This window comes from Homo sapiens, chromosome 6, assembly GCF_000001405.40.
Source record: "Homo sapiens chromosome 6, GRCh38.p14 Primary Assembly".
NCBI classification, from domain to species: Eukaryota; Metazoa; Chordata; class Mammalia; order Primates; family Hominidae; genus Homo; species Homo sapiens.
This window is the reverse complement of record NC_000006.12, coordinates 63,439,536-63,453,064: the sequence shown is the minus strand read 5'-3', so window position 1 is coordinate 63,453,064 and position 13,529 is coordinate 63,439,536. Positions and strand designations below refer to the sequence as shown.

The window sequence follows — 13,529 nt, the reverse complement described above, 5'->3', positions numbered from 1 at the left end:
TGCTTTTAATAAAATACGAGTCAAAGAAGATACCATAGTTAAAATTATAAAATATTTTGAATGAAACCAAATGAAAACAAAACCTATTAGGATTTGTTAGTGTGACCCAAACAGCACTTGGTTGGAAAGTTATAACATTAAATGCATATATTCAAAAAGAAGAAAGTTCTCACATTAATGATCCAAGCTTCAATCTTAACATACTAGAAAAAAAGGGGCAAATTAAGGCTAAAGTAGGCATAAAGAAGAAAGTAATAAAAATAAGAGATGAAATCAATAAGATAGAAAGCAGAAAAAAGAAGAAAAAAAATGGAATGCAACACTACTTCTTTGCAAAGATCAATACAACTGATAAACTTGTAGCCAGACTGACAGAAAAGAGAGAGACAGAGAGAGAGAGAGAGAGAGAGAAAGATAACATACCAATATTAGGAATAAAATCGGGGACATCATTACATTTCCTACAAATACTTAAAAAAAATAAATATATTATGAATTTTTTTCAATATATTTGAAAACAGATGAGCTTTGCAAATTCCTTTGAAGTCACAAACTACCAGAGTTTACTCAAGAAGAGACAGAAAATCTGAATAGCCTAATAAAATCCATAAAAGTCACAGTGAAAAATTTTTCTGCAAAGAAACCCCAGGTTGCTGGGTGTGGTGGCTCATGCCTGTAATCCCAGCAACTCCAGAGGCTGAGGCAGGAGTATTGCTTCAGCCCACGAGCTTGAGGTTGCAGTGAGCTATGATTGCGCCACTGTACTCCAGTCTAGGTGACAGAGGACAATCCTGTCTCTAAAATAAAGAATAATAAACAAACAAACGAAAAACCAACAAAGAAAACTCCAGGCTCAGACAGTTTGGTGAAACCTACCAAACATTTGATTTAAAGAAAAAATACTAATTCTCCACAAACTCTTCCGGAAAATAAAAAAGGAGAGATCATGTCCCAACTCACTTTATGGGACCAGCATTACTCTAATGAAGACCTTAAAAAAAAAAAAAAAAGACAAGAAAACAAAATTCTAATATTTCTCATAAACAAAGATGCAAAAATTCTTAACAGAGTATTTTTTTCCTTCTAATCAATGGAATCCAAACTATTACAGAATTAAATTCAGTGATATATAAAAAGTAATAGATCATGTCCAAGTGAGTTTATTCTAGGAATTTAAATTTAGTTTAAAAATTTTAAATCCATCAAAATAATACACATCAACAGACGAAAAATTGTGTGACCATCTCAATTGATGCATAAGATATATGTATGCATTTTTTATGTTACTTTTTTCTTTTTTTTTAATTAATTTTTATTTTACATTCAGAGGTACATATGCAGGTTTGTTACATAGGTAAACTTGTGTCATGGGGGTTTGTTGTACAGATTATTTCATCACCCAGTTATTAAGCCTTGTACCCATTAGTTATTTTTCCTGATCCTCTCCCTCCTCCTACCCTCCACCCTCTAATAGGCCCCAGTTTGTGTTGTTCCCCTCTGTGTTTCCATGTGTTCTCATCATTTAACTCCCACTTACAAGTGAGAGCTACAACTATGTGGTATTTGGTTTTCTGTTCCTGCATTAGTTTGCTAAGGATAATGGCCTCTAGCTCCACCCATGCCCCTGCAAAGGACATGATCTCATTCTTTTATACAGCTGCATAGTGTTCCATGTTGTATATGTACCACATTTTCTCTACCCAGTCTATCTTTGATGGGCATTTATGTTGAATTAATGTCTTCTTTGCTATTGTGAATAGTGCTGCAATGAATATACACATGTATGTGTCTTTATAATAGAATGATTTATATTCCTTTGAGTGTATATCCAGTAATGGAATTGCTGGGTCCAATGGTATTTCTATTTTTAGATCTTTGAGGAATCATCACACTGTCTTCCACAATGGTTGAACTAATTTACACTCCCACCAACAGTGTATGATTTTTTTCATTTAGCTGTCTTTTTTTCATTTAGCTGTTTTTTAATCTTAAATTTATTTTAATCAATGAAAACATTTAAAATAGTATTACTAGACATAAAAAAGGAGTGCCCTGTCCCTTTTGATTTTTGCTTTCTTGAAAACCATTACAGCCGGGTGTGGTGGCTCACACCTGTAATCCTAGCACTTTGGGAGGCCAAGGCCAGGGGGATTGTCTGAGCTCAGGAATTCGAGACCAGCCTGGGCAACATGGCGAAACCTTATCTCTACCAAAAATACAAAAAATTGGCCAGGTGTGATGGCGTGCACCTGCAGTCCCAGCTACTCAGGTGGCTGAGACAAGAGAATCACTTGAACCCAGGAGGTGGAGGTTGCAGTGAGTCAAGACTGCCCTGCTACACTCCAGTCTGGGCCACAGAGCAAGACTCAGTCTAAAAAAAAAAAACCATTATAATCTTTTTCAATTTTTAGCTGTTTTGTTCTTGTTTTTTGCTTTTTTATTTACCTTTATGTTCATAGATAACATGTTTACTAACGTTTTTTAAAAAATTATTTTTCTTTTCTTTTTTTTTTTGAGGTGGAGTTTAGTTTTGCTCTTGTTGCCCAGGCTTGAGTTCAGTGGCACAGTCTTGGCTCACTGCAACCTCTGCCTCCGGATTCAAGAGATTCTCCTGACTCAGACTCCTGAGTAGCTGGGATTACAGGGCCTGCCACCACACCTTGCTTATTTTTAAATTTTATTTATTTATTTATTATTTATTTTTGAGATGGAGTCTCACTCTGTCGCCCAGGCTGGAGTGCAGTGTGCAATCTCTGCTCACTGCAACCTTTGCCTCCCAGGTTCAAGCGATTCTCCTGCCTCAGCCTCCTGAGTAGCTGGGATTACAGGTGCTCACCACCATGCCTGGCTAATTTTTTTTTTTTTTTTTTTGCATTTTTTAGTAGAGATGGGGTTTCACCATGTTGGCCAGGCTGGTCTAGAACTCCTGACCTCATGTGATCCACCCGCCTCAGCCTCCCAAAGTGCTGGGGTTACAGGCGTGAGCCACCATGCCTGGCCATTTTTCAATTTTAGACATTATTAATTGGTTTTCTACTAAGGAAGATGAGGGCTTTGTTCTTTTTCTCAGACTCTCTCTCTCACACACACATTCAGATACATGCTTCTCCATGTCTCACACATTCCCTAAAAAGGGTATGTTTTCATTTGATAAATAATTGTGTTTATGTTATTATGTGACAGCTCATTATTTTCAGCTAAGCCACATAGTGGCTTACATTACTTGTTCAACTAGTTGTATATTCTATTTAGTATTGTTCAGTGTTAGTGTTTTGTTTCTGTTGTTTCTTAGGATCCAACCACTATTTTATCCTGAAACTACCTACGACTGAAAAATCTTTTCTGAATAGCCTCAAACATCAGATACTCATTTTTGTTTTCTTTCTCTGGGGGGATACCCTTTCTTTTATCTTCTTGATCCAGTTTGGACTGGTTGTTTTCTAGGAATTTTGAACAATTGCCATTTTGAATTTCTAGTCACCATTATCCCAGATTATTTCTTTCTTTTCTTTTTTTTTTTTTTGACGGAGTCTCGCTCTGTTGCCAGGCTGGAGGGCAGTGGTGTGATCTCGGCTCACTGCAACCTCTGCCTCCTAGGTTCAAGTGATTCTCCTGCCTCAGCCTCCTGAGTAGCTGGGACTACAGGCACCCACCACCACGCCCGGCTAGTTTTTGTATTTTTAGTAGAGACAGGGTTTTACCACGTTGGCCTTGATGGTCTTGATCTCTTGACCTTGTGATCCGCCCGCCTCGGCCTCCCAAAGTGCAGGAGCCACCGCGCCCAGCCTGTCTTTTTCTTTTCTTTTATGCTTTTCCTCCTTTGCTTTTATGTTGGCTCTCTCTTTCTCTGCTGTCCTGGTGGGTTTATTTATTTAAAATTTCATAACTGTCATTTTATAGGTACAGTTGTCTCTCTGTGTCTGCAGGGCATTGGTTCCAGGACCTATCCGCAATCCTGCCGCTGGCAGATACCAAAATCCCCAGAACTCAAGTTCCTTATATAAAATGGCGTAGTATTTGCATGTAACCCAGTTACATCCTTCCAATATACTTTAACTCATCTCTAAATTACTTATAATATCAAATACAGTGTAAAATGCTATACAAATAGTTGTTATACTGTACTTAAAAATTTGTATTTTTTGTTGTTATGTTGTTATTTTTTCTCTTCTATTTTATCTTGTTAAACACACTTTTAACCTCTGAGTTATTTATTTTTTTTCTGAGTATTTTTGGTCCATGATTGGTTGAATCTGCAAATGTGAAATCCATGACACAGAAGGCAGACTCTATTTGGGGTAGAAGTCAAGATAAAAATGTGAATTTTAACAAAAATGAAAAAAAAGAAGAAAAAAGAAACAAAAAGAATAAGAAGAAAACTACAAAAACAACAATAACAAAAAATAAAAAAATGTGGATTTAATATGCCATGTAACTGGACCAAATTTGTTAACTTTTTTTTTTTAATGATCGAGGGTGTATAATACTTAGGGGTTGGGCCTGCCTGTCTTCTCTCCCTACCTCCCTTTCCAGAGACAGGGAGGGGCAGAGTAGGATCCCTGAGACACCCTCCGTGATAGCTTGTTAATTTTTCATAGATTTCGTTTGAAATGCCCTAGAAAGTTGTCCCTATGACTCATGCTTAAAATACTTAACCTTTCATATGACGTTTAGTAAATAAGGATGAACTCATGGGAGATTTAGGCATAAGCTAAATTTTAGCTTTTCAAACCAATCTGAATAGCTGATTCTCTGATATAAAAGTATAAGATGTCCAGTTGTCCTTTTTGTACATGGTGAGCCTTTTTTGTTTTATATTTTCCTCGTATCACAAAAATTTACTTAGGACATTGTAAAATAACATAGTGAGATAGTAATGTTCTATATTAGCATGGTGTCTTTTATCCAGAAGGTTTGCCAAGTACTTTGTAACTTGAAGGAGAGATTGTTTTGTTCTTAATTTAAAAGCACCTCATTCTGAGATGAAATATTATTATTTTATGAGGCACAACTATACAAAATAATATTTTAATGAAAGAATCATTCTTTTATGGAACTATGAGAATCAGATGAGTATTGCTGACAAATATAATTCACTAGGCTCTTTGAGTTTCTTGTAGGATGGCATCTAAATTTTGTTGGACAACTTATTGGATTTCCTACTTTGAGTTATGGAGAAGTGCCATCATTTAATTATCAATAACATGTTTCATAGCATTCCATACCTGAAATTAGCATCTACAAACTAACTCAAATAGGGAGTTTCATGAAGACTGCCCAAAGGTTAGAGGCACAAATAAATGAAAGATTTTGACATAAAAGTTATTGTAATATTTATTATATTTATAGTTTCCAAAGTAATAGAAATTCCAAGATTGTGACAAGAATATTCTGAAAAATGAATAGGATGCTAACAGTTATTTTGACTCCTTATAGTCATTAGGATAGATTAACAGGGAAATAGATTTAAGAACACTATAAAGATTGTATTTACCTGGACAGTAAATCTTGCTAGACATAACTTTTCATCTTTACTAAGATATTCAAAATAGTTATTTCATATACATATTACTAACTTTTAAAAATCCCAAGTTAATCCCAGTAACATAGAGCCAAGTAAGGTAGCAACACCAGATATTCTATTTTGTAGACTACTATTTCATTTCTAAATATAGCAACACTGCTTATTTGGCAGTCAGACTTCTGGCAACCCAACCTAAACATGCAGCTGTGACTCCAAACATAAATTAAAAAGGCCCCTGAGTGGTCACAATAGATGTCAAAAAAGCCAGAACTTTATTGAGGTAGAGACATGCCAGCCCTCACATTTAGCAGATATTCCATTCCACAACTGTTTATAAAAACAGAAAGGCTGCTATCATTAAGCACACCGACAGCAGAGTCTGCATTAGTTTAGCAAGATTTCCAAAACGAACCAACAAACTTGTTTTGCTGTTAACTGCTATCCAATGCTAAAGTGATTCTTGTTGAGCTTAACTTTTTTTTAATTTTTTTGAGACGGAGTTTCACTCCTTTTGCCCAGGCTGGAGTGCAACGGCACGATCTCGGCTCACTGCAACCTCCGCCTCCTGGGTTCAAGTGATTCTCCCGCCTCAGCCTCCTGAGTAGCTGGGATTACAGGCTCCCGCTGCCACACCTGGCTAATTTTGTATTTTTAGTAGAGACAGGATTTCTCCAAGTTGGGCAGGCTGGTCTCAAACTCCCAACCTCAGGTGATCCACCTGCCTCAGCCTCCCAAAGTGCTGGGATTACAGGCATGAGCCACTGCTCCCGGCCGTACTTACTTTTTTCAACTATACTGTATTTTTCTTGGGTCAAGTAAGACCACCAACTCACATCAACTTAACAGCCAGCATGAACTGAAAAGCTCAAGGTCATGTTAGAAATCTTTCAAAACTCATAGGTTAGGAAATAGAATGATAATGCCTTACATAATTGATGGCAAATTTATTCACTCAACAAACATTGTATTGGGTGCATACTATGTGCTCGTTGCTGTTCTACTGAAGAGGTTACCTTAGTAAACAAAATCCTTGACCTCGTGAAACTTATATTCTAGCAGAAGGAGGCAGAAAATAAGCATAATAAATTAATAAATGATATCGGGTGTGAAGTTCTTAAATATTATGACAGGGTAGAGGGAGATAGATTAAGCTCTGGGGGTGGGAATGTGCTTGGTATGTTTGAGAAACTGTGAGAAGGCCCATTTCCTGGGCAGAGTGATGGGGAGGCAATCCAGTCAGTGAGGTGAGAGGGCATGCCATCATGTACACTGTTCGTTTTTTTTTTTTTTTTTTTTTGAGACACAGTCTCGTCGCCCAGGCTGGAGTGCAGTGGCCGATCTCTGCTCATTGCAAAATCTGCCTCCCAGGTTCAAATGATTCTCCTGCCTCAGCCTCCTGAGTAGTTGGGACTACAGGAATGTGCCACCATGGCCCGGCTAATTTTTGTATTTTTAGTAGAGATGGGGTTTCACCGTATTGGCTGGGCTGGTCTCGAACTCCTGACCTCGAGTGACCTGCCTGCCTCAGCCTTCCAAAGTGCTGGGATTACAGGCGTGAGCCACGACACCCGGCTGATCATGTACACTTTGTAGGCCATTGTCAAGATGCTTTTACTTGGAGTGTGATGATGGAGAGGTCATGGGGCGGTGGGGGTTGAGATGTCTGAGATACTTCAGAAGGATCACTATGGCTGTGTTATGAATGGAGAATAGATGATAAGGAACCTAGGGTGGAAAGAAGAACACAGTTGGCAGGCAATTGTAGTAATTCAGATGAGAGTTTATAAAGCTTCCAAACATATTAAGTATTTTATTATAAACAAAAGTCTCTAAATCTATGCTGATATTGAAGGTAATGACCACACATTCTTAATTCTTATACAAGGCATGAGATTCTTCTTTTTTATTTTTATTATTTTTTTTGAGACAGGGTCTTGTTCTGTCACCCAGGCTGGAGTGCAGTGGCAGGATCTCTGCTCACTGCAACCTCCACCTTCCAGGTTCAAGCGATTCTTGTGCCTCAGCCTCCCAAGTAGCTGGGACTACAAGCGCCTGCCACCACACTGGCTATTTTTTTGTATTTTCATTAGAGATGGGGTTTCACCATGTTGGCCAGGCTGGTCGCGAGCTCCTGACCTCAAGTGATCTGCCCGCCTTGGCCTCCCAAAGTGCTGAGATTACAGGCGTGAGCCACCGTGCCTGACCAGCATGAGATTATTTTTATTTTTTTGAGACGGAGTCTCCCTCTGTCACCCTGGATGGAGTGCAATGACGCGATCTCTGCTCATTGCAACCTCTACCTCCCAGCTTCAAGTGATTCTCCTGCCTCAGCCTCCTGAGTAGCTGGGATTACAGGCACCTGCCACCACACCCAGCTAATTTTTGCATTTTTTGTAGAGATGGAGTTTCACCACGTTGGTCAGGCTGGTCTCGAACTCCTGACCTCAGGTGATCCGCCCACCTCGGCCTTCCAAAGTGCTGGGATTCAGGCAAAAGCCACCGCGCCAGGCTATGAGATTCTTATACAAGAGTGTCTGCCCTGCAAATGGCACTTTTCCATGGAAGCTACCCATGCCCAGACCTTGCATCAGCTCAACTGTTTTGGACAAAGTGACCTTGTCCTTTCCCTCCTTCCAGCCTTTCGTTGGTTGGCTACAGAGGGAATTGGACTCAAGCACAGTCAGCCATGGCATGCTAGTTCTTCAGGAGTGGGCCTGGGAAAAAAGGCTCCATCTAAGTATTTTTGTGCTGATTCAACCAGATTCTTCTCAGGGATTTAACTGAGAAGAATGAAAAGAAAACCAGTTGATAACAGTAAAAGAAGGGGTCAGACAGGAGCAGATATGTTAACGGTGGAATGTTAGAGTAAGAAAAATTCATAAAGTCCTGCTTCTCAGGTCCCTAGGGAAGTTTAAAAATCTGAATGGCCTTCTAGTTTCTGGCTCTATGAGGCAGATTCTAAGTGATTCCTGCTTTCCCTGAGTTCCGTGTATGTGTTAACTTATATTGCTATCCTTCCTCATGTTACACTACTTTGAATAAACAGAATACATCTCTATTCCTTACATATAAAGAGCCCAACAGAAATTACAACCACTTGTGTAACAGTCTTCTTGCATTAGTAATCATCTATCAATGATTTTAGTCTATCACACATTGGGAAAGATTTTCACTGTCTACATCATTAATGTGTAGTGGAGAACACAGAATTTGAAGCTAGCCTCCCTGAGTTCAAATGCCAGCTCCATCCCTTGCCAGTTTTGTTATCTTGGGCAAAGAATTTAACTCATCTTTCTGTTTCCATATCTATTTTTTTTTTGAAAAAGAGATAACATACTACTTAGAGTTGTTGAGAAGATTAAATGAGTGAATACTGAAAGCTCTCAGACAGTGCCTGGTGCATAATAAAGACTCGAGAGGCATCATCATCCAGTAATGAAACAAGCCATTACTTCTAGATGATAAAAAATTCTCTGGGTGACTCCTATTATGAGTTGGTTAACTGCTATTAGTTAGGACAGTGGCATTTTTTGTTTAATTACTTAGATTCCTTCAAAATAGTTAGATAATTCCCATACCCTATTGGCATGTTTCATAAAGGTCTCATGACACTTTTTTTTTTTTTTGGTGACAGCTGACCATTTAGTAGAAATGAGCCTTTACACAGCTTTGTGTAACAACTAGAAATGGCTATGTTTTCTTTCTCCCCACCCCCAAGCCTATTCCTTTAGGCATGCAGGTAACTGTCCCCCACCACCTCCCATTTCTCCTCATTCCACCAGGAAACCCTGACTAAGGAATGAAGAAGTCCTACAAAGAGGAGGTCTCAAGTACCAATCAGCAGCCATTTGATGATGGCAGGTAGGTCTGATGCTAAAAAGAGTTTGTGTCCAGCAGAGCCCAATTCCATAGGAATCCAAGCTCCAAGGCTGGGAGGCAGCAGGTGCTGGGGACAAGCTCACTGCTGAGAGTCGGTCTGGAGGATCTCATGGTGGTGCAGACCCTGGACCACATTGTCACAGATGGTGTTCACGCTGGTGCAAAGGTGAGAGGTGACAATGTGCTAGCAGCCCTCACTTGCTCTTGGTGCCTCCTCGGCCTTGGCATCTGCTCTGGCCGCACTTGAGGAGCCCTTCAGCCCACCGCTGCACTGTGGGAACCCCTCTCTGGGCTGGCAGAAGCTGGAGCTGGCTCCCTTTGCGTGCAGGGAGGTGTGGAAGGAGAGGCGCGGGTGGCAACCAGGGCTGCGTGCTCGCGGGCCAGCACCAGTTCCAGGTGGGCGCGGGCTCGGCAGGCCCCGCACTCAGAGCAGCCTGCCAGCGCCACTGGCGCTGGGCAATGAGGGGCTTAGCATCCGGGCCAGTAGCTGTGGAGGGGGCACCGGGTCCCCCAGCACTGCTGGCTTGTCCGCACCCGGCTTGAATTCTTACCAGGCCTCAGCCACCTCCCCATGGGGCAGGGCTCAGGACCTGCAGCCTGCCATGCCTGAGCCCCCACGCGGTGGGCTCCCACATGGTCCGAGCCTCCCTGACGGGCACCGCCGCCTGCTCCACAGTGCCTGGTCCCATCGCCAAGGGTTGAGGAGTGTGGGTGGGTGACTGGTGGGCAGCTCCACCCGTGGTCCTGGCGTGGGATCCACTAGGCGAAGCCAGCTGGGCTCCTGAGTTGGGTGGGGATTTGGAGAACTTTTATGTCTAGCTGGAGGATTGTATATGCACCAATCAGCACTCTGTGTCTAGCTCGGGGTTTGTGGATGCACCAATCAGCACTCTGTATCTAGCTAATCTGGTGGGGACTTGGAGAACTTTTATGGCTAGCTAAAGGATTGTAAATGCAGCAATCAGCACTCTGTGTCTAGCTCAAGGTTTGTAAATGCAGCAATCAGCACTCTGTGTCTAGCTCAAGGTTTGTAAACGTACCAGTCAGCACTCTGTGTCTAGCTCAAGGTTTGTAAACACACCAATCAGTGCTCTGTGTCTAGCTAATCTAGTGGGGACTTGGAGAACTTTTATGTCTAGCTAGAGGATTGTAAGTATACCAATCAGCACTCTGTGTCTAGGTCAGGGATTGTAAATGCACCAATCAGGACCCTGTCAAAACGGACCAATCAGCTCTCTGTAAAATGGACGAATCATCAGGATGTGGGTGGGGCCAGATAAGGGAATAAAAGCAGGCTGCCCGAGCTAGCAGCAGCAACCCGGTCAGGTCCCCTTTTGTGCTGTGGAAGCTTTGTTCTTTCTCTGTTTGCAATAAATCTTACTGCTGCTCACTCTTTGGGTCTACGCCGCCTTTATGAGCTATAACACTCACCGTGAAGGTCTGCATCTTCACTCCTGAAGCCAGTGAGACTACGAACAAACGCATTGGGAGGGACGAACAAACGCATTGGGAGGGACCAACAACTCCGGACATGAGGAACAAACAACTCCAGATGCGCTGTCTTTAAGAGCTGTAACACTCACAGCAAAGGTCTGCGCCTCACTTCTTAAGTCAGTGAGACCACAAACCCACCAGAAGGAAGAAACTCCGGACGCATCTGAACATCTGAAAGCACAAACTCTGGACACACCATCTTTAAGAACTGTAACACTCACCGCGAGGGTCCGCAGCTTCATTCTGGAAGTCAGCAAGACCAAGAACCCATTATTCCGGACACAAAGGGGCAGCTGCTGTAGCTGTGTCACCTGACAAGCAACCAGCGCCCCCGCTGCACAAAGCAGCAGCAGCAGCAGTTTCAGCACAGCCCAGAAACGAGTGTGCTTCCGGGGGAGTGGCTTGCAGGGGCAGGATTCGGACTTAGATTTGGGGGCCTAATTTGTTTCCTTGGTAGGTATGATCTGCTCCCGCTTGGCTGCTTTGAGGGCATCATACTCCTTTCTCTGGCACTCTTTCTCCTCTGCCTTCTCCCGCTTCCGCATTTCCTCTCCTGAGCTTCCTTAGCTCGCTGCTTTGCCTCATACTTCTCTGCCTCTCGTTCTACTTCCAACCCTGCTGCCTCTCCCACTTGTGGTCTGTCTGTACAGCCTTCATGTGTTGTGATGCCTTGTTTGCATGCTGTTTCCATGGCTTCTCACCCAAGCAATCACCTGCCACCTTGGCCAGGCCGGGATCCAGAGGTTATTCTTCAGGTCCAGCCACTTCAGGTTCTTCAGCTGAGCAAAGCTGACGACAAGGTGACCAGCCTGTTGTTGAGGAGAGCCAGGTGCTGGAGGTTGACCAAACGGCCCAAGTCTGCTGGTGGGTGCTGCGGCTTGTTCTTTCTAAGGTCTAGCTTCGCCAGGTGTGTGAGGCCACAGAAATCCGACGGGAGAATAGTCATTATTTATTTTTTTGAGATGGAGTTTCACTCTTGTTGCCCAGGCTGGAGTGCAATGCGCAATCTCGGCTCACTGCAACCTCGGCCTCCCAGGTTAGAGCGATTCTCCTGCCTCAGCCTCCCGAGTAGCTGGAATTACAGGCATGCACCACCACGCCTGGCAAATTTTTTTTGTATTTTAGTAGAGACAGGGTTTCTCCGTGTTGGTCAGGCTGGTCTTGAACTTCTGACCTCAGGTGATCCGTCCTCCTCGGCCTCTCAAAGTGTTGGGATTACAGGCGTGAGCCACCGTGCCCGGCACAATAGTCATTTATTACAAGACAGATCCAGTGTGGTAGTCTTTGGAAGGGCAGCCAGCTCCTTGACCGGGTCTTCATCCAGGTTGCTGAGGCTCAGGTCCTGTTTGTTGCTGTCCAGCTGGTGGCGGAGGTTTCCGCCCTCGCTATCTGCGTTGGTCATGGTGACGGTCGGCTGAACGGACCTGGCTCCAGGGTTTTGATGGGTGGGGGTAAATGAGCTGAAATGCCGCTGGTCAGTTCAGCGGGCCCCCACCCAACCCACCACACCTGAGCCCTCTGTCGCCTCTGGTGCCTACACCTTGTTAATTTTAGACAAATGGATATCTAGGGAAAGGAGAAACAGGCAGTCATAGCTGTAGAGTGCCTGCTCTATACAGGAAGGAAATTGTTTGGTACTGGGGAAGGTGATACTATTGTAGAAAAACCGGGTTCTCAATACACGATCAGGAAAATTTAGGCAGACAGACACATTATAGGGTTTATTCGGTGAAGAGAAAAAAAGGAAAGAGGAATTCTCAGCAAAGTGAGAAAGAGTCCTGATAGCAGGTTTCCTGCCTCACAGATTGAATGCCAAGTCACCACACAGGAACTGAGGAGGCCAGGCTCCTCCACCTACAAACGGCCTGAACTTCGCGAGGCTCCACCCCGTCCTCCCAGGGCGTAGGTGGGCATTATGCAGGGAGAATCAGTCAGGAAAGGGCAGCCTTCATCCGGGACCAGCAGTCTGGTTTTAGGCTTGAAGGCAGCCAGGGTTTCCCCAGGGTCCCTTGGCTGTCTGCTGTCCCTATCAATACTGACATACAAAAAACTCAGAACTTACAAGTAGAATCTGAACTCCATGAGGACTTAGAAGACTGTTTTAGTGGTGGAGGAACCTATGTTTGTCTTTTTAAAACAGATACCAGCACCTGGAATATAGTAGACAATAAATATTTTTTGAATGAATGTTGAATAAATGAAAAATAAGCACAATGAACAAAAAGGCAGAGATTTCAAAGCTAGAAGAGATGTATAAATGAAGGGCTATAGAAACATAAAAGAATGGATAATAAATTCTGACCACATTGGAGTATGTGTATATAGAGAGAAGGTTCGATATCTGAATTGGACCTTAAAGAAGAGTAGAGCTTTGACAAATGATGCAGTGGGGTGGGACTTAAAGGGAGAGCTTTTCTACCAGAGGGAATTCCAAAGAACTAGAGAAGTGAACATGCATATTTAGTCTGGGAAAGAAAATAGATGGGGGGAATTAGAATTGAGAAGAGGTGGAGGACAAGAGTGGTTGGAAGGCAGTGGCAGGAGATGTGCCTGGAAAGACTGTTTGGAACAAGAATGTAAAATGACCTCCTGTCCCATACTTCAGACTTTATTTTACAGGCATGAAATTTAA

The 13,529-nt window shown here is 42.7% G+C and overlaps 1 protein-coding gene and 1 pseudogene across 3 annotated transcripts in view; one reads left to right on the top strand and one right to left on the bottom strand.

The window, feature by feature from the left end:
* The window catches only part of LGSN (lengsin, lens protein with glutamine synthetase domain), a 297,657-nt gene that overhangs the window by 120,543 nt on the left and 163,585 nt on the right, over window positions 1-13,529 (top strand). Inside the window, exon 2 of one of the 3 annotated variants that reach the window (XM_047418866.1) lies at window positions 9,307-9,385. The gene's annotated coding sequence lies outside the window, so the exon portion shown is untranslated. Of the gene's footprint in view, window positions 1-9,306; window positions 9,386-10,715; window positions 11,762-13,529 lie in introns of those variants that run through there. The other 2 variants (XM_017010930.3, XM_011535892.4) reach the window with 2 other exon arrangements.
* Window positions 9,152-11,847, bottom strand: LOC642554 (leucine rich repeat containing 59 pseudogene; annotated as a pseudogene).